This window comes from Homo sapiens, chromosome 3 (assembly GCF_000001405.40).
Source record: "Homo sapiens chromosome 3, GRCh38.p14 Primary Assembly".
NCBI classification, from domain to species: Eukaryota; Metazoa; Chordata; class Mammalia; order Primates; family Hominidae; genus Homo; species Homo sapiens.
In genome coordinates, this window is record NC_000003.12 from 121,718,655 (window position 1) to 121,739,381 (window position 20,727).

General features: G+C 37.1%; 1 protein-coding gene across 28 annotated transcripts in view, besides 1 other annotated feature; it reads right to left on the reverse strand.

The window, feature by feature from the left end:
- Positions 1-20,727, reverse strand: part of GOLGB1 (golgin B1) — an 86,766-nt gene that overhangs the window by 55,454 nt on the left and 10,585 nt on the right. For 6 of the 28 annotated variants that reach the window (XM_011512699.4, NM_001366282.2, NM_001256486.2 and 3 more), the window contains exons 2-7: positions 12,222-12,319; positions 11,211-11,363; positions 10,534-10,686; positions 8,259-8,387; positions 3,608-3,724; positions 992-1,114 (exon numbers count right to left, since the gene is read on the reverse strand). In XM_011512699.4, the coding sequence (XP_011511001.1) occupies positions 992-1,114; positions 3,608-3,724; positions 8,259-8,387; positions 10,534-10,686; positions 11,211-11,363; positions 12,222-12,317 (771 nt within the window). In that variant the 5' untranslated portion in view covers positions 12,318-12,319. The other 22 variants (XM_047447989.1, XM_047447990.1, XM_006713589.3 and 19 more) reach the window with 9 other exon arrangements.
- Positions 12,307-13,506: an enhancer, noted in NCBI's record as "MED14-independent group 3 enhancer chr3:121449808-121451007 (GRCh37/hg19 assembly coordinates)". NCBI's record gives its function as "activates an origin of replication core promoter dependent on BRD2, BRD4, P300/CBP and CDK7 cofactors, and independent of MED14, by STARR-seq in HCT116 cells {active_cell/tissue: HCT116}" and the evidence as "EXISTENCE:reporter gene assay evidence [ECO:0000049][PMID:35650434]".

The following is a 20,727-nucleotide window of genomic DNA, read 5'->3' on the forward strand; positions in this document are numbered from 1 at the left end:
ATCCAGCAGCAACGAAGAGTCTCCAAAATGTCTTCTCCAGAGCACCAACAACAACCAGACCCAGACACAAGCAAGTCCCTGAATTAGGGAGTCTCTTTAAAAATTAGAAAAAACAATAACACATATCTGCCTTCAAAATCATACAGTTAATAACCTGTACCTAGATAGCATAGGTACATGTACATCTTACCCACCCAAGAGAACATTCTCTGCAGGCAAGAATCATTTCTCTTCTCCTAGTTTCATGCACTGGGCAGGCACTTGAAAAAAAATTGTTGAATAAATAAAGCAATGATACACATATACAATTAGTATTCTACTTAATAATATGTTGTATTCTAAAACTTTATTTAGTGGTGCATTCTGAAAGATTGCTTAGAACTTAAAAGTTTCCGTTCTAATTAATTCTAATTAATTTTCAATCTAATTAAACAGATCAAACATAAAGTATCACTGAAGTGCCTTTCAGTACCACAATGCACTACACACTAAGTGAAATAAAATACTTTGAGTTAGTAGATGGTGAACTCAAATACAATGAAGCCAATTTTCAAAATCTACTCAAATTTTTTTAAAAAAGAATTACTGATCTAATAAAAGACTTCATGTCTTCAAAATCATTCTTTGTCTTCTCTAATTTTTTAAATATTTAAAACTGACTTCATTGATTTGAAGCTTTGGGTTAGGTGTGTAATGCACAAAGGTAGCTATAATCAGAAAACTGAAGAGAAACCAATTTTTGACTACCACATAAATTCACCAACTAAACTCAGCTTTTGAGCACCAACAACCTGATTAGAGGGGTAAAAGGCAAGAAAAGGATAAGAAAAAATAAATAATTTTTATGCAACAGAAGACAAGGACACAAAAGAGGCCAATAAGGAAAACACTAACACCAAGTGAAGAGCAGTGGGTAAGGGTAGGAAATTGGCTGTGATGGATTAAATATTAACCAAAATGACAGTCATTCTACCGAGTTTTAGCAACACACCTGTTGCATCTCTGTTTCCACATCTGCCTGGGTTACTAACTGAAGAAGCTCATCTTCATGAAGACGAACTTGTGTTTCAAAGCGGGCATCTTTCTCTCGGACCACCTGCTGCATGGAACTCAACTGAAGACACATACCAGAGAAACTATGCAAGTTACACTCCCCGAATATTGCACAAATAAAACTCACAGACTACTTTCCAAGACAGACACTGAGACTTGATAGTAGCTTTTTAAAGTGAAATTTTGATTGTCAAGGATGAGGATGTTGGAAGAGAGATAGGCTGGACAGTAACTATGAAATGCGAGAGAAAGCCTATTTTCAAATTCAGAAGTTAGCCTAAACATAAATTTTGATCAAAAATTATATGTTCATGGTTACTAGAAATGTTTTAAATATACAAGAAGTGTATTTTTTAAAGTTCTAAAAAGATTAAGATATTAAACACATAAGGTGAAGTTAAGTTAGATTTCTATTAAACCCTGGACACTTCTTGCTCATGGCTGAAAAGCTTTCAGTAAAATTCTCATGCCCTATAAATGAAAATTCAAACTAACATATCATTTATTCAAGATTCTCTACAACTGGAAATACCAATCTATCTTTCTAGTCTTATTTTCAAAGAATTGCTTCTACCAAAGAACCTCATGTGCTTCTAAATCCACACCACCTCCCCAGACAGCTGTTTTCAGCTGTCATTACTTGCAGCCTTCTAGATCATGCTCATTTTTAACTGGCTCTGAACAGAATGAAATGGAAATAAATGGACTGATGGTGAGCTGCTCAGTATCAGTGCTTCTGTCTTGTTTTTAGGTTGTGAGTGTGTGCATCTGCTTATTCATCTCCTTAAGATCTATGGTGGAGCATGCTGCTTAGCTGTTAGCTTGCCTATTTTGCATTGGTCCTTTACTGCTGATATCTCAGTTTGTGACACCTTGAATCAAACTTTGGCTTTCTTTTTTGGTAGGAGAAAAACAAATCCTCAGAATGTTTTTATTATCTGAATTGTGACCTCACTAGGAATTTGGACTCTTGTGTTTCAAGTGTGTAGGCACTGGAGTCTTTCATTAGCCAAACATCTCTAACTCCTTTCCCATAACTGTTCCATATTCTTTTCCTTCTCTGCAGTTTTGCTCACACCGTTCCCCATCACTGAAATATCTCCCCCAGCTTGTCTGGAATATTATCTATATATCATGGTTTTGCCTAAATCCCAACTTTTCCGTGTAATTTTCCTTAACTGTCAAACTCACAGTAACCTCTTTCGCCTTCCAAAATATTTTGTTTGTATTGCTGCTTGCTTTGGCACTTATTCGGAAAGCCTTAAATTACGATGAATCTCTTAACACATGTATGTATCTTGGCTTTCCATATTTTAGCAACACATAGGTTAAAAACCATATTTTGTATTTCTTCATCCTGCACTGTATATAGTGCTTATACATAAAAAGGACACAATAAAAAATAAATAAAAAATTTAAAAAGGACACAATAAAAGCTAATAGGTAAAACCAAGAATTTCAGGATATACAATTTTAACTGTATACATAGCAGTAGGCCAACCACAGAGAGAAGGCACTACTAATACTACAAATTATTAATAAAGTAAACACCTAATGGATAATTAGCTATGTACAAAGGTACTTCAGGGAAAAAAATCTTTCATGATTCATAAGCATTCCCCCACCGCTGCCCCCACCCCCCAAAAAAAATTACAGTGCCTGTAATCCCAGCACTTTGGGAGGCCGAGGTGTGAGGATCACTTGAACTCAGGAGTGCAAGGCCTGCCTGGGCAACATATTGAGAACCTGTCTCTTCAAAAAATGTAAAAAATTTAGCCAGATGCAGTGGCACATGCCTGTAGTCCCAGCTACTTGGGAAGCTGAGGTGAGTGAGAGGATGGCTTGAGCCCAGGAGACTGAGGCTGCAGTGAGCTATGATTGTACCACTTGTACTCCAGCTTGGGCAACAGAGTGAGACCCAATTTCAAAAATAAATATGTGGGAGTGCGTGGCCAACCAAGAAACCTAGAAAAATAGAAAAAGTTGAGGATGCCAATCCAAATGGTCTGGTCTTGACAGATGAAAAAAATGGGAAGAAGAATGTCACATACTGGTGCCATTTAACATAAAATCACATGACCTACACCACTTTCTCATTACAGGCTCACTAAGTAATCTAACTATAATTTATTTCCTATTAAGATAGATATTATTTTGGGAAAGAATGAACCTAATTATTTTTATTTCTTTTGGTTTACTTATTGGTCTCTTTTGAACTCAGCATGAGTCCATTCCCAAAAGACTGAATCTCTGTCTGCTATTAAAATTAAGTTTCTGGACATGCAGAACTAAGAAACAGTCATCAATTAGGCTATAGAAAATTCATCAAGGTAAATAACACATTGTGAGGTTTTCTGGTGTTCCCTAATGACACACTTACCTACCACACATCTCCTAATCTCTTCTACTACATATCCTTCTAATTTCTAGTGCAACACCCATGCTACTATACTTTTATCTACTAGGATTTTTTAAAGTGACTCACTGAATTGACTTGTGCGTAATAACCCACTGGACTTCATAGCTCTTTATCCTAATTTTGTGAGGTCCCTACCTGTGCAGCTTGCTCTGCCTGTGTCTGGCTGAGCTGGGCTTGTAAAGTGCTAATGAATTCTTCCTTCTCCTGGAGCTGTTGCTTCATCATTACAAATTCTTCCATCTCTGTAGAACTCTTATCAAACCGAAGACATAGAAGGAAAAAAAATTATTTAAGCAAAAGAATGAGCATTATTAATTCTTTGACCTCCCTTTCTTGCTTAACCTAAATGCCTACCATATTTCCTTCTAGTTTCCATTGAACCCAAAAGGAAATTGCATGCATTATCAAAATTTTATTTGTCAGAAGAAGACAGAAGCAGTAGTGGCAATTTTTCAATTTCTCTGACTCCTCACATAGAGACAGCACAAGATAGTAAAACCAAAAAAACCACAGATAACATTTACAGTTAAATTAGGCAGACCGTCCTAAAAACCCTAAAATATAAGCTAATAAGGACAAACCACCAAAACCCACAAGAACTACATTGTATTAGAGTCTTACATTGTGTAAGAAAAAGAAGGCAGCAAAAGAGTGAAATCTGATGGGTCTGAGAAAGGGACAGCCCTAAACAGCCAATGTATTTATTTGCTGGAATGAACAGCTGGCCAATTTTAGAATAGTGGCAGGGCTTTGCCATTCTTTAATACTAGGTAAATGCAAGGGGTGCACAGTAAGGTAAGAAGGACTAAAAGGGCTAGAGCAATCTAGGCCCCCTGAACTCTCACAACTGACTCATCATGGCTCCCTTCTGAGACATGAACCTGTACTAAGAAGAAACTGCGAGGAGTGAAATAAAAATTATGCAGAAAAGGAATTAAAGAGACAGAAGAAAGAGGTCTACAAACGTATTGTATAATTCAGTATCAACTAGCCACATGTGGATATAGAGGGCTTAAAATGGGTCTGATAGAAAAGAAATATTTTTAATTTTTAACATTATTTAATTTTAATTTGAAAACTGAAATATAGATTATTTTTCCATTAAGTACAACTTTGTTTTGGCATGACTATATTTCATCTTATCTGTTGCATCATGTAAGTTACTGTTGAGGTGCTGCACAAGCAACAAGTGTATATGCAGTTGGTATCAATGGGTTGATTCAGTTTAACATTTTTCTAGACCCCTATATAACACTGTAATATGTTTATTTGTATACTTAATGCAGACAGCATTAGTAACAGTTGATACCAATTTAATCATAACTAATAATTAAATTGCAATATAAACATTTATTATAATTGAATTATTTTCCAAGTTCAAAAATAAATATAGACACATTTCAAAATTTAAAATGAAGGCCTTCTATTGTTGTATAGTTGGTTCCTTTTCACTTCTAAGTAGTATTCCAGTGTGTGGATATACCACAGTTTAAATATTTCCCTATTGATGGGCATGTGAGTTGTTTCCAGTCTTTAATTATTACAAATAAACCTATTACTATTGGACAGTGCTGGCATAAACCAAGTGAAGGGCAGAAGGAAGAAAGCCAGGAAATCTCAGAAATCCGGCTCCCATATCTTTGAACACAACACAAAAACAATAGAAAAAGGAAGTCTGTTAAGAAAAGCTTTCCTGAATCAAGCCTCCTTCCAAATAGAGGTTTAGGAGAATAAATTTGACACAAAAATAAGGAACAGAAAAGGATGAAGGTCATATCCCATTTAAGTTACTATTAAAAAAACAGAGTAGCCCCCACTAGCAAGAGGACCCTCACCAGATGCAGCCTCTCACCCTTGGTCTTCTCAGCCTCCATAACTTCTTATAAATTACCCAGTTTCAGGTATTCTGTTACACGCAAGAGAAAACGGACTAAAAAGGAAAATTGGTATTGACAAGTGGGGTCATCGTTGATAATGATTATTTGAAAATGTGGAAGCAGTTTTGGAACTGGGTAATGGGCAGAGGCTGGAAAAATTCTGAGGAACTAGCTCAAAAAAAAAATGCCTAGATTCTGATGAGGGCTTAGAAGATAAGACAACTACAGAAAGCTTAGCACTCCTTGGAGATTGGTTAAGCGGTTGTGACCACAATGCTGATAGAAACATAAATAGTAAAGCCCATTCTGGTGAGGCTTCAGACAGAAATGAGGAACAAAGTATCAGAAACTAGAGTAAAGCCCAGCCTTGCTATAAATTAGCAATGAACTTGGCTGAACTTGTCCAGTTTTTGTATGGCCAAGAACTTTGTAGAAGGCTGAGCTTGAGAGTGATGAACTAGGGTATATGGCAGGAGAAAATTTTAAGCAGCAAACTGCTTGAGCTGCTATGTGGTTACTTCTATCTGCTTACAGTGAACAGAGAAAAAGAAAACAGAGCAAAAAAAAAAAAAATTGGAAAATTTGCAACCTGGCCATGTGGTAAAGAATGGAGAAGATTTCAGGATGGGAATCCAAGAAGGCACAGCCACCACTTGCTAAAGAAATTAACACGGCTAAAAGGGAGCCAGTTTCTAACAGTTAAGACAATGGGAAAAAGCCCTAAAGGCATTTCAGAATGCATTTTAGAAATCTTTAAGGCTGCCCCAACAGCCCCCATCACAGGCCCAAAGCCCTAAGAGGACAGAATGGTTTCTGTGAATAGGCCCTGAGATACCACTGCTCTGTGCCACTTCAGGATACTGCTCCTTGCAGCCCAGCTGTTCTGGTTAGTGCAAAGCAGCCGCAGGTATGGCTCATGTCACAGCTCAAAAGGTACGAGTTGTAAAACTTGGTAACATCCACATGGTGCTAATTCTGCAGGCTCACAGAAAGCAAGAGCTGTGGAGGCTTGGTAGTCTCCACTTACATGTCGAAGGATGTCATCAATAGCCAGGGGGCTCAGGCAGAGGCTTGTCTTGAGGCAGAACCACCACAGAGAGCCCCACTAGAGCAATGCCAAGGGGAAATGAGGGGTTGGAATTGCCCTGCAGAGTCCCCACTAGAGTAATGCCTAGTGGAATCACGGTGTGGGACTACCACTGCCATACCAGAACTATAGAGCTACCAGTGTGCAATGCAAAGTCAGCCTGGGAATGCTGGCTGGACTAAGCCCAGCAAAGCCATAGGGACAGAACTGCCTGAGGTCTTGGGGACCCAACCCCTGTACCGGCAGAGGATGCTGAAAATGGAGTAAAAGAAGATTATTCTGGAATTTTAAGGCCCAATGTCTACTCTCTTGGTTTTCAAACTTGCTTGGGGTCTGTTACTCTCTTTCTTCTTGCCTAGTTCTCCCTTTTAGAATGAGAATGTGAACCCTATGCTTGTCCTACCATTGTATCTTGGAGGAAGATAATGTGTTTTTATTTCACAGGCTCACAGAAATTGGTGCAGGAATGAGCTAAGACTTTGGGGCTGTGGGGATGCAATTAATGTATTTGTATGTGAGAAGAATATGAGTTTTGGAGAGCCAAGGGTGGAAGGCTATGATGTGAATGTCCCCTCCAAAACTCACGTTGAAACTGAATCCCCAGTGTGACAAGAGGCCTTTAAGAAAGGACTGGTTCAGGAGGTCTCTGAACTCAGCAATGGATTAACACATTCACAGATTAATGGATTAATGGGTTGTCATAGAAGGGGAACTGGTAGCTTTATAAGAAGAAGAGAGACCTGAGCTGGCAAATTAGCACACTCAGCCCCCTCACTATGTGATGACTTGCGCTGCCTTGCGACACCACTGAGAGCCCTATCAGCAAGAAGACCCTCACCAGATGCAGTCCCTCAACTTTAGACTTCTCAGCCTCCATAAATGTAAGAAATAAATTTATTTAAATTAAATTAAATTTCTGTTATTATAAATTAAAAACAAAACTAAGGAGCAGAATGATATGATTATAGGTGATAAAAGCATACCAGAGCCACACTAAAAAAAAAAAAATCAAAATTGCAATCTATTTCAAAAAGTTTTTAAAAATTAAGAAAATTATACAGGCCAGGCATGGTGGCTCACACCTGTAATACCAGCACTTTGGGAGGCCCAGGCAGGTGGATCACTTGAGGTCAGGAGTTCCAGACCAGCCTAGCTAACATGGTGAAACCCCATTTCTACTAAAAATACAAAAAATTAGCCAGGCATGGTGGTGCATGCCTGTAATCCCAGCTACTCAGGAGGCTGAGGCAGGAGAATTGCTTGAACCTGGCAAGCAGAGGTTACAGAGAGCTGAGACTGTACTGCTCCACTCCAGCCTGGCCAACAGAGTGACACCCTGTCTCAAAAAAAAAAAAAAAAAAAAAGAAAAGAAAAGAAAAAAAAATTATACAGAGATGAGAGAAAAACATAAATCAGATTTAGAAAAATCAGAAATGAGGTGACTGAACTCATGAAAAATCCAATAGAAAAGAAAAAATCATTGCAGTATAGAAGATAAAAAAACAGAAAAAACACAAAAACAAACAAAAAATAGAAGGCCTAAAGTGAAATAAAACAACAAACAAAAAAACAAACTTAAAATATGTGAAACCATATATTGAAAGAGTATACTGGGTATCTATGAATAACAACTAAAAATGACAAACACCAATGCATATTCTAATAAAATTACCAGACAAGAAGAAATGAAGAAAAGAAGGAGACTGATATATACATAGATAAATGCCCATTGTGCATCTAGAAAAATGTATTTGTCACATAATAATCCATTGGTTTTAGTGATTCATTAACCTAATGATTATGAAGTAACTTCCACCCCTACCTGTGCAGGTTGTTCTGCCTGTGCCTGAGTAAGCTGGGCTTGCAAAGTGCTGATTAGTTCCTCCTTCTCCTGGAGCTTATGTTTTATCTTTTCTATTTCCATCTCTTCCTCTGTAGAACTCTTGTCATGCTGAAAATGCAGGAGATAAAGTCATTATTTAAAAGAATTACAATTAATATATATTTGATATTTTCTTCTAATTTTTCATTTACAACCATTTAGTTATAATTTTATTAAACTGATGGGAGCAAGAAAAACCAGCTGATCTAACAAATAAGAAATCTTAGGGTTGTCCAGTTTTTGTATGGCCAAGCAGTTCCTGTTAGACCTACCCTCCCTCACATAATAGCTATAAACTGTGAAATACATACACACACACACATATATATATATATATATATATATATATTTTTTTTTTTTTTTTTTTTTTTTTTTTCCCTCACACCAAGCATGTGAACCCAAAACTGTGGACAATATAGAAAACAGCTATCTGAAAATACTGGAGAGCAACCAAAAGCAGGAAGATACTGGAGGGGATGTGATAATTGGAAGAAATGGTACCGAGTTTCCCATTTTGACAGCTTTTATTCTGAGGGCAAAACCAGTCAGTGCCATGCAGGACTAAACCTTAATAGAAAACCCGAAGTCTTGTTGCCTTGAAGAATCAAGGAGAGAGCTCAGGAAACTATAGCTGTTGCTAAGTGAGAAGCAACACATCAGAAAAGAGCCAGTGAGGGGAAATCCAATTTTTTCAATAATCTATTTTTTTTTCCAAAAGCTCTCCCTTAGACTGAGATTCTGCCTCTTTGTAAATTTAGTCCCTCCCAACCCCCTAAACAAAGCTATTTCTGCTTACTGGAATTACAAAGAATACTTTTATACTTTCACATAAGTCAGTCAAGCACCTGAGGACTGTTGTCATTTCTTCAACTATACTTTCCACAGAATACCTAGCTCTGTATTGAGTATATAATAGTTAAAGGGTTGCTATGACTGATTGCTGAAACTTAGAAATCATTTCTTTAACAGAGAAAGAAAATGAACTCTAAGACATTACTGCTTTAAGGTCTCAGAGCTAAAAATGAAATTAAAAAGCAGAGTATAAAATGGATAATTTAAAAATCTGACATCATAGCTGAGGAGAAGCTGGAGGGAACAAAGCAATATGAGGAGAGAGGTTGGTGCTACCACAGTGAGGGGAAGAGAACTGACAGAGGAAAAACCAAAAGGAAAAGAAGGATCAAGGTGAAATTATTTGAGAAGATTGAGAAAAGCTTTTAAAATAGGCTTCAAGAAGTTAAATAAGATTATCAATTCAGGGAAAGTAATGTTCTCTGATCATTAGGCCCTGAGAGGAAAGACTAAGCAGGAACTGGGTCACTAACTAGCGATCCCAAAGGTTGTGCCTAGAAAACTGATTAAAATCTCATTTCCCAAGAACTAAGGATACTAGCAGGTCAAAGCAAAACAAAATGAAACTAAAAAAATAAAAAGATTTCTTACACACGGTGAAGTCTAGGCTCACTCTATAACTACAGTATGCATGTGATATGCCTGCCTCCATATAATCTGTATCAAACTCTCCACAAAACTGAAGTTTCTTGTTCTCTAAATAGCTGACTGAATGTGAATATGTGGAGTTTAACCATACAGGAAAGATAATGAAAATTTGAGTACTGGGACAATATTCCTCACAGGGCAGTACTTTCCTTATTCCTCCTCTGTATCTCCAACCTTAAACTGCTTTGTTGGCTGCAGTCATAAACCTAGTGAGCCTCCCTTTTAGAGAGTCCCAGGTAATTCAGCTGATTCAGCCCACATGCATGAAGCTTTAATCCACCACTATGTGACTATATATGAGGACACAGAATATTCTGTGTTAAGTCATTGAATTAAAAAGTTTCAGAGCTGGAAGAAACCTTAGAGATAATCTAGTTTAATCTTCTAATCAATGATGAAACTCCTCCAAAAGGTATGTTTCCCTCCTCTCTAAATGCCTCACTTCAGTACTTATTTCTTCCTGTAAGCCTTTTTTAATCCCTGAAAGTCCAGGTCACAACTGGCATTTCATATCCATGTTTTCTGTACATCTTTCATTCTCCCTGTGTGTGGCCTACAGTCCAGCTGAACTACAAGCTCTATAAGAAAAAAAAAAACAAAACATTATTTAGTGCTGTATCATTTTAGCATCCTAAATGTTTGTGATTGGTGAAGATCTGCTGTATTGGTAGGTTTTTTCAACTTAGGAAATATACACTACACCCAGTCACCATACCTTGGAAAGTTGCTCCTCTGACTGAGGTTCTGTAGGCAGAACAGTCCCTCCTTGTGCTTTCATTTCTTCTATGTATTTATTCAAAGAAGTTAATTTGGCCTTCGCATGAAGTTTTAGTTTTTTAATTTTGTTATCAGCAGCTTTTCTCTCTTCCTGCCCAAAAACAATGATGGTAAATACATAAATGTTTATTCCCCTCTTATCTAGCACATACTAAAAGTTATTTTTATTATTATTACTTTCAGAGACAGGGTATCTCTCTGTTACCAGGGCTGGAGTGCAGTGGCACAATCACAACTCACTGCAGCCTCTAACTCCCAGGCTCAAGCGATCCTATCTCAGCCTCCAGAGTAGCTGGGACTACAGGTGCCCAATACCATGCCCAGCTAATTTTTTTTAAATTTTTTTTTGTGGAGACAGGGTCTCACTATGTTGCCCAGGCTGATCTCGAACTCCTGGCCTCAAGAAATCCTCCCATCTCAGCCTCCCAAAATGCTGGGATTACAGGTGTGAGCTACCACACCGACCCAAAAGTTATTTTCAGTAGGCATAAGGTTACAGTACTAGGGAGATAATCAGATTCCCTAATAATCTAAGTGGAGACAAAAATTAAAGTGAGTAGTGTATCATCTGTCCTTTATCAAATGCTCCACAAGAAAGGATAAAAACAATAGTACCTGTAGAGCTTCATCTTTCTGCTGCAGTTGAACATCCTTCTGTCTAATAATATCTTTTAGCTCCACCACCAATTGCTCTGCATAAGCCAGGCGCTCCTGAACATCTTCTTGTGTAGTATTATTAAATTCCATGTCAGATTCTTGGTGTAATTCCTAATATTTAGGAAAAAAGTTGCCAGTGCACCAGGAAAAGGTATTAGCTTCCCAACAGGAGTTTCTTCATTCCAACTTTTTATGTTTTGCCCAATTCATATTCTTGTTAACTTAAGAATCTAACTCTGATCCAATAATAATCATTATCATAGCCATTACAATATATTAAGTATTTTATAAATGTTAAGCATTTTACAAACATTATCCCATTTAAGGTATTATTATCCTAATTTTACCAAAGAGAAAAATAAAGGAAAGCAAAAATCATAAACCAGTAAGGGTAAAAGGCCAAAAGTTAAAATTAAGAGTAGTTAAGTAAAACTCTCTTAACCACTACGCATTACTTCTTGTCTTTTCAGAAAACTAAGAAGTTTTATTAATTCCTTATGTGGACTTCAGAAAATATAATACATACTGCCAATTTGTATCATCTTAAAAAAAAAAGAAAATACAATACAAACTATAGGAGAAGTGGTAAATGAAATTACAAAGCAAACAGATATTCTGAAACCCAAAAGGTGTTCCAGTTTCCTCATTTGTCACTTAGACCTTTCCTGTGGAAAAGGAATAGCCAAGGATGAGAACAAAGGACTTAAAACACTCTGGCACCAAACAAGGCCCAGGGAGACAAATGAGAAAGCCCTTTCAAATTGTATCCAGGACTTGTTTCCCATCACTGTGGCTTTTAAGCTAAAAACTTACAAGAGAAGGATCACTTATAAAATTTCAATATTTTTCTTAATCCTCGCTTCACCTAGTACCAGGGAGGCTTCGCACACCCTTCTATCTTAAATTATTTTCCTTAGAAGAACACAGAACATATGTCTTACCAGTTTAAATCAGAACAGAACTACTCACAGGGTCTAGGGGAGCCCTCATATTCTGATCAGTGTCATCATCTCCTGATAATTCATGCAAAACAACATTTGCTAATCCTGATAATCGGCTCAGCATTTCTGTAGGAAAAGAAGGGGGGAAAAAACCTAAGAATCAGCAAAATGAACATAGGCTTCTCCTATATTGATAACCATATCATCCGTGAATGAAAAAAGAATACTGTACAGGTGATTTGTATTAGACACAGTCTGCAGCACAATGATGTCTTCAAAAAGGCATTTGAGTACTTCCAGTGTAGTCACACGCTGTTCTTTTCAGTGGCAATTGTACAGAGGTTATCACCATCACTAACACCATTTCTAAAATAAAATGTAAGTACCTAATCGTTAAACATTAATACAATGTTAAATACCAATCTATAATTGTTAAATACACCTTAAAGGTAGTTTTTATCTTTAATGCCCTTCTTTCATAGTAGTTTCACTTACAAACATGAATTTCTTTTTTCTTTTTCTTTTTTTTTTTTTGAGACAGGGTCTTGCTCTGTCACGCAGGCTGGAGTACAGGGACGCAATCTCAGCCCACTGCAACCTCTGCTTTCTGGGCTCAAGCGATCCTGCCACCTCAGCCTTTCGAGTAGCTGAGACTACAGGCACATGCCCAAACATGAATGTCTTATTCTTTCTTCCTCTGTCAGACTGTTATTCTCTCCCACTTGTTCAAATAAACTCCATGATACTGCAACATTTTTCTTTTTATGTGCCCCATGAACCCCATTCTTTCAGAAAGCTTTCTTGATAAACCATGTGGCTTTGCTAAAATTTAAATATAAACTTTGTTCAAAATGTACAGCATTAAATGCATATATTAGAAAAGGAGGAAGGACAGAAATCAGTAACCTATGATTCTTCTATAGAAAATTAGAAAAAGAAGAACAAATTACAGCCAGTGTAAGCAGAAAAATAAAAATAAAAATCAGAGTAGAAATTAATAAAAATAGAAAAATAGAGAATATCAATAAAACCAAAAGTTGATTATCTGAAAAGATCAATAAAATTGATAAAACTCTAGTCAAGATGACCAAGAAAAAAACAGAGAAGACACAAATTACTGGCATCATAAATGAAAGAGGAAACATCATTAATGATCTAACATACATTAAAAGATAATAAACACTACAAATAGCCCTATACTTTTAAGTTCATCCATGTAGATAAAATGGGTCAGTTCACTGAAAGATTCAAGCTACCAAAAGCTCAAGAAGAAATAGAGAACCTGAATATAAATGAGTAGATATGTGTGGGTGCATGTGTGTGTACAGACACACACACACATATATATACACACATATAAATATGAAATTGAATTCATACATTAAAAACCTTCTAAAAAAAGAAAACTCCAGATCAAGGTGGCTTCATTAGTAGGTAACAAGAAACATTTAAGGAATAATACCAATTTTATATAATCTATGCCAGAAGATAGAAAAGGAAGGAACACCTTCTAACTTATTTTACCAGACTAGCATTGCCCTAATACTAAAAGCAGACAAAGATATTACAAGAAAACTAAAGACCAATGTTCCTCATGGTCACAGTCAACAAAATATTCAAATAGTCCATAAAATATTAGCTAATTAAATCCAGTAATATATAAAAAGATAATACATCACAACCAAGTGGGGTTCAAGAAATGTAATGCTAATTCAAAATATGAAAATCAATGTAATTCACCATATTAACAGACTAAATAAGGAAAACCACATAATGTCAATAGATTGAGAAAAAGCATTTGACACATTTCAATATCTATTCATGATTATGAATTCACAATAAGAATAATTCATTCTCAGCAAACTAAGAAGTGAATTTCCTCAACCTAATAAAGGGCATCTTTAAAAAACTTACAGCCAACATCATAATTAATGGTGAGAAACTGAATGTTCTCACCATATGAGAAACAAGGCAAAGATGTCTCTTACTACTTCTATCTAACACTATACTGGAAGTCCCAGCCAATGCAACAAGCAAGAAAAAGAAAAGAAATACAAATTGGAAAGGAAGAAATAAAACTGTCTCAACTAGCAAAATGATTGTCCATGTAGACTTTCCTTAAAAAACAACTCCTAGAATAAGTGAATTCAGCAAGGTTGCAGGATACAAAGTCACTATATAAAAGTCAACTGCAGGCCAGGTGCGGTAGCTCACGCCTGTAATCCCAGCACTTTGGGAGGCCAGGGCGGGCGGATCACGAGGTCAGGAGATCGACACCATCTTGGCTAACACTGTGAAACTCCAACTCTACTAAAAATACAAAAAATTAGCCGGGTGTGGTTGTGGGTGCCTGTAGTCCCAGCTACTCTGGAGGCTGAGGCAGGAGAATGGCGTGAACCCAGGAGGTGGAGCTTGCAGTGAGCCTAGATTGCTCCGTCTCAAAAAAAAAAAAAAAAAAAAAAAGTCAACTGCATTCCCATTACAATGAACAAGAGGAATTTGAAACCAATAAGAATACCATTTACAACAGCACTGAATAAACAGAGCAGGACTTGGGTAAACAGCTAACAAAATATATGCAGAATTTGCTGAATGCTGAAAACTATTGAAAACCCGAGGAAGACATAAAAAATCTAAATAAATGTAGAAATAAAACATATACATGTATTTGAACTCTATAATGTTAAAGTATCAATTCTCCCCATTTTGACCTATAAAATTAGTGCAATTCCAAACTTAATCCCAGCAAGCTTTTAGTAAACATCAAAAAGCTGACTCTAAAACATATGAAAAGGCAAGGAGTGTGGAAATTACTCACTACAATTACAAGACAGGGCAGCACTGGTGAAAGCATAGACACACAGATAAATGGAACAAAATGGAGAGCCTAGAAATAGACACATACAAATCGAGTCAACTGATTTTTAACAAAGGTACAAATGCAATTAAGTTGAGAAAGGACAATCTTTTCAATAAATGGTTGTGGAACAATTGGACATCTGAAAAAGAGTGAACCTTGACATACAACTCACACCTTATACAAAGCATATCTCAAAATGGATCAGAGACCTAAACTTAAATTGTAAAGGTTTTAGAAATAAACATAGGAGAACATTTTTGTGACGCTGAATTTGGCAATGAGCTTTTAGACACCAAAAAAGCACAATATATTATAAAAAATATTGATTAAAAATTTATCAAAACATACAACTTTTGCTCTGTGAAGACAAGGTTAAGAAAATGAAAAGACAAGTCACTGAAGCCAGGCGTGGTGGCTCACACCTGTAATCCCAGCACTTTGGGAGGCTGAGGCAAGCAGATCAGTTGAGGCCAGGAGTTCAACACCAGCCTGGCCAACATGGCAAAACCCCACCTCTACTAAAAATACAAAAATAAGCTGGGCATGATGGCGCATGCCTGTAGTCCCAGCTACTCAGGAGGCTGAGGCACAAGAATCGGTTGAACCTGGAAGGCATGGATTGCAGTGAGCTGAGATCATGCCACTGCACTCCAGTCTAGGCAACAGAGCAAGACTCTGTCTCGGGAAAAAAAAAAAAAAAAAAACAAGTCATAGATTAGGAGAAAATATTTACAAATAGCATATCCAGTAAATAACTTGTATCCAGAATCTAAAACAATAAAAATATCTTAAAACTCAACATCAATAAAGTAACACACCTGATAAAGAAATGTGCAAGAGATGTGAATAGATACTTCACCAAAGAAGATAGATGGATGGTAAATAAATATATGAAAAGATGCTTAAGTTAATCTGGCATTAGGAAAATACTCATTAAAAGCAAAATGAAATACCACTATCTACCTATTAGAATTGCTAAAATATGTATTTTTTAATGCTGGCAGGGATATAGAGCAACAGGAACTTTCAATGCCTGCAGATTAGAATACAAAATGGCACAGCTACTTCGGAAAACTGTTTGACAGTTTCTTTAAAAGTTAAACGTACATTTACCAATCCCACTCCTAGGCATCTAACCAAGTTTATAGTAGGTTTACTCATAATCACAGATTCTGAAAATAGCCAAGATATCCCTCAACAAGTGAATGAATAACAAACTGTAGCACATCCAAACAATGGAATACTACTCAGCAAAAGAATGAACAATTGATTCACACAACACAATACTTAAACCTAAAATGCCTTTTGCTACATGGAATAAGCTAAACATTAAAAGATATACATCATATTATTCTATTTATATAACATTTTGAACAAGTCCAGAAATTAACCCACACAAATATAGTTGTCAGGGCTTGAGGGAAGGAGATGTGGCTGAATATAAAAGAGCAACACAAGGGAATTTTTAAGGTGAAGGAACTGTTCTGTATGATCTTGAAGTAGTAAATTCATAACCATATGCATTTGTCAAAACTCACTGAACTGTACATTCCAAAGAGCAAACATAATTGTATACAATTTTTTTAAAACCTCAGCCAGGATGTCAGGAGTTCCAAAAATGGAATGCAGACTGTGACAAATAGATCTAACTATATTATAAATATATGATATAACCTCACTGAAGGAGATGGGGCTAACCTAAGAAACAAAAATGGTGTTTTGACTGGGTACTATAAGGATAAAGACAAAAAGAACTGACATAAACACTGTACTCTGCTTGGTAAATTTCTTTCTCACAGTGGTATGGGTTAGCAATTCTGAAACTACTTCATTGTACACTAGGGTTAAATGAGTAAGTAAATTGTAGATAATGAGATTCAGGTTTTTTACTGTCAGTGAAAGAAGTTACAAATAAGGCAAGAAAGCTAGGATAAACCCCATGGTACTGGATTAGAGTCAGAGATATCAGTATGAACTCATGTTTATTTTAATATATATGTAAATAGATAAATGCAGAAATAAGTATAGATATGTATGCATTATAAATAATCAGTTATTACAGAGAAATATATATTCTAGCCGTGTCCACTGAAAAGTCCTAGAAACAGTAACACCTCAGTAGCAATGAGCGCATCCAGATCTCGATTTCTAAATTGCCAATCTCCAATAAAAGGAACTAGGGCTCCTTGGAGAAATGGCTGCCTATCTAGGGTTGGGGCAGAGAGCCAGAAAGTAAGGAAGTGTTCAAAAAAGAAAAAGAAAAAAAATGGGGTATGTGACCAGGAGCCAATCTGAAGGAGCTCCCAATGATCAAGGCTAGAATAATTTGAGTCACAGAATAAATAACAATAATATTGGATTATATGGATTATAACCCAAATAAAAAATTAAATACCCATCAGTCAATACTGATATAAATAAATCATTAAATAAATTAATGGTAGAGACAAATCTTCCTTACAAAAGAATTCCAAATAATTTATGTAGATACGTCCCCCTCTAAAAATGGAGCTTAATTCCCTCTCCTTCAGTATAGGCTGGACCTAGTGACTCACTTCCAAAGAATAGAATATGAAAAAAGAAAAACAGCAACATCAGAGTGGTGAGACTTGGCAACCACCACCTCAACCAAGTGATCAAGATTAACATCACCAGTGATAAGTCATCGTAATATCATGTAACCCCTGATATAATGTGATGAGAAGGGTACTTTACCTCTGGGGTATTCTTCTGCAAAACCCGTAAGCCCAGTCTAATCATGAGAAAACACTGGGAAAACCTAGATTCAGGGACATTCTAAAAATACCTGACCAATACTCTTCAAAACTGTCAAAGTAATGAAAAACAACAAAAAACTAAGAAACAGTCACAGATTAGAGAAGACAAGGAGACATGCTGATTAAATGCAAAGTAGGCCGGGCACAGTGTCTCACGCCTGTAATCCTGGCACTTTGGGAGGCCGAGGCAGGCAGATCACTTGAGGTCAGTAGTTCGAGACCAGCCTGGCCAACATGGTGAAACTCCGTCTCTACTAAAAAATACAAAAATTAGCCGGGTGTGGTGGCATGCACCTGTAGTCCCAGCTATTGGGTAGTCTGAGATGGGAGAATCACTTGAACCTGGGAGACAGAGGTTGCAGTGAGCTGAGATCGCACCACTGCACTCCAGCCTGGGTGCCAGAGTGAGACCCTGCCTCTAAATAAATAAATAAATAAACGCAAGGCAGTATCCTGGATTAGGTTCTGAAACACAATAAGGACATTACTGGAAAAAATGGTGAAATCTGAATGAAGTCTACCTATAGTTTAGTTTATGGCATTGCACCTATGTTCTCTGTTTTGAAAAAGCTACCATGGTTGTGTAAAATGCTAACATTAGAGGATGCTTTGTGTATACAATAACTGTCTGTCTAATCTTCCCAAGTTGTATGTAAATCTAAGGTTATTCCAAAATCAATTTACTTTTATAACCACTGTGTAGGCTACATATTCAGATCAGTGTCAACTGCTAGTCCATAAAGTCCATGAAAATGAGAAGCATATTAATGCTTTGATAGGAAAAATCAAAATAGAACTGGACTATGCATAGCATTAGTTTACGTGATTATGCCTAATTTTACATTTTGTGATAAAATGTTATTTGGCTTTTAAAACCCTCAGCAGGGGCCGGGCGTGGTGGCTCATGCCTGTAATCCCAGCACTTTGGGAGGCTGAGGCGGGTGGATCACGAGGTCAGGAGTTTGAGACCAGTCTGACCAACATGGTGAAATCCCGTCTCTACTAAAAATACAAAAATTAGCCGGGTGTGGTGGCACGTGCCTGTAATCCCAGCTACTCAGGAGGCTGAGGCAGACGAATCACTTGAACCTGAGAGGTGGAGGTTGCAGTGAGCCAAGATTCGCACCACTGCACTCCAGCCTGGGCAACAGAGCAAGACCGCGTCTCAAAAAAAAAAAAAAACCTCAGCAAGAAGAAATATAAAAACTATTGTACAAAATAAACACTTAAATGAAACTAGGCTCTGCTACAGTTTTCTTCTACTGGGGATAATAATAGTGTTTAGGGCAGCCATGGTTCTTAAGAAAGAAGTGATGAGAGATACCTGTTTTTTTAATAGATTGTCTTGGGTAATCTAAGTAGCACATCACTTGGAAAAGATACGTGAGACAGAAATAGAAAAAGTGAACTGTTCCCTAGGAAGGCAGCGCAGGATCATATATAACTTCATATCTAAATACTGGAAGGGCAACACAGTGTCATACATGAGTACATAGGGCCATATATAACTATTTATTCAAGATATGAGAACCACAGCTATAGTCAGGATTAAAAAATCACAATTCAGCAGTATACAGATTCTAAACTTTCTTTTCAACTTTAGAGATCATATTTTCTTTGGTTAACTTTTAATGAAGGAAATGAATACCATCACTAAAGAGTTTCTTAAACATATAGATTTCTGCTAATCAAAGAAAATCATAATGGAACCTAACTTATCAAACAGAATCACTTTATCTTCAGATTTTTCAGACCACTTTGGAACAAAGAAAACAAAATAACCAACTGATGGGATTCTGAGAAGATGGGAGTAGCAAGGGGCCCCATGGATTTTGTATCTTCCTTTATTCCCACATAAAAACAGACAAAGCAACTAGGTAACAAAAGATCCATGGACAGCCTTTACCAAAAAACTACTTAACAAAGTTTCCTACAAACCCCAAAATAAACGTGGATATAGACAAACCGCCAATAGTCAAAAGATCTGGGTGTCACTGGTGTTCAACTGGGAGGAAATTGAGGGAAGCCAGAGGAGTACAACACCAAGAGGACCTCAAAAGAGCCAGTGGGCATTCACTGGCAAATGCGCCAAGCCAATTACAGAACAGTAGTTGATACAAGGAGGGGTCTTCCCATTCCAATAACAGGTACCTGCCAGGGGCCTACGAGGGCTGAAAGAGCTGAGGCAGTCTGGACCTTTATTAATTCTCAGAACTGAAGAGTTGGGGCTCTCTTCCAGGATAGGGTCCCACACTGAGGAGAATCTGCTGAGAGGAGAATTAAAATTAAGTGACTAAGGAAAGAGGAGGTCCAGATAAAGAGCAGGTGAAAGTGGCAAGGAAAGAAAGGCAGGAAATCCGAGAAATCCAGCTGCCATATAGTTGAACAATGTCTGAAAATAGCACAAGAGGAAACCTTATCAAGTTAGAAAAGCTGTATAAAATCTCTTTCTAAAAGTTCAGCAACACTAAATTCATATTAAAAATGAACTACTGAGGCCAGGCGTGCTAGCTCATCCTGTAATCCTAGCACTTTGGGAGGCTGAGGTGGGAGGATCACTTGAGCCTAGGAGTTCAAGACTAGCCTGAGCAACATAGCAAGATCCCATCTCTACAAAATTTTTTTAAAAAGTCAGCCAGGCATGGTGGCACATGCATGTAGGTCCAGCTATTCAGGTGGCTGACGTGGGAAGACTGCTTGAGCCCAAGAGGTGGAGGCTGCAGTGAGCCATAATCACACCCCTACACTCCAGCCTGGGTGATAGAGTAAGACCCTGTCACAAAAAAGAAAAAAAGAGCAACTGAAAAGTCTCACAATTCAGATACATTACTAGAAGAAAAAAAAGGAGGAAAACGATCATGATAACATCCCGACAGAAAATGGAAGCACGTCAGAGA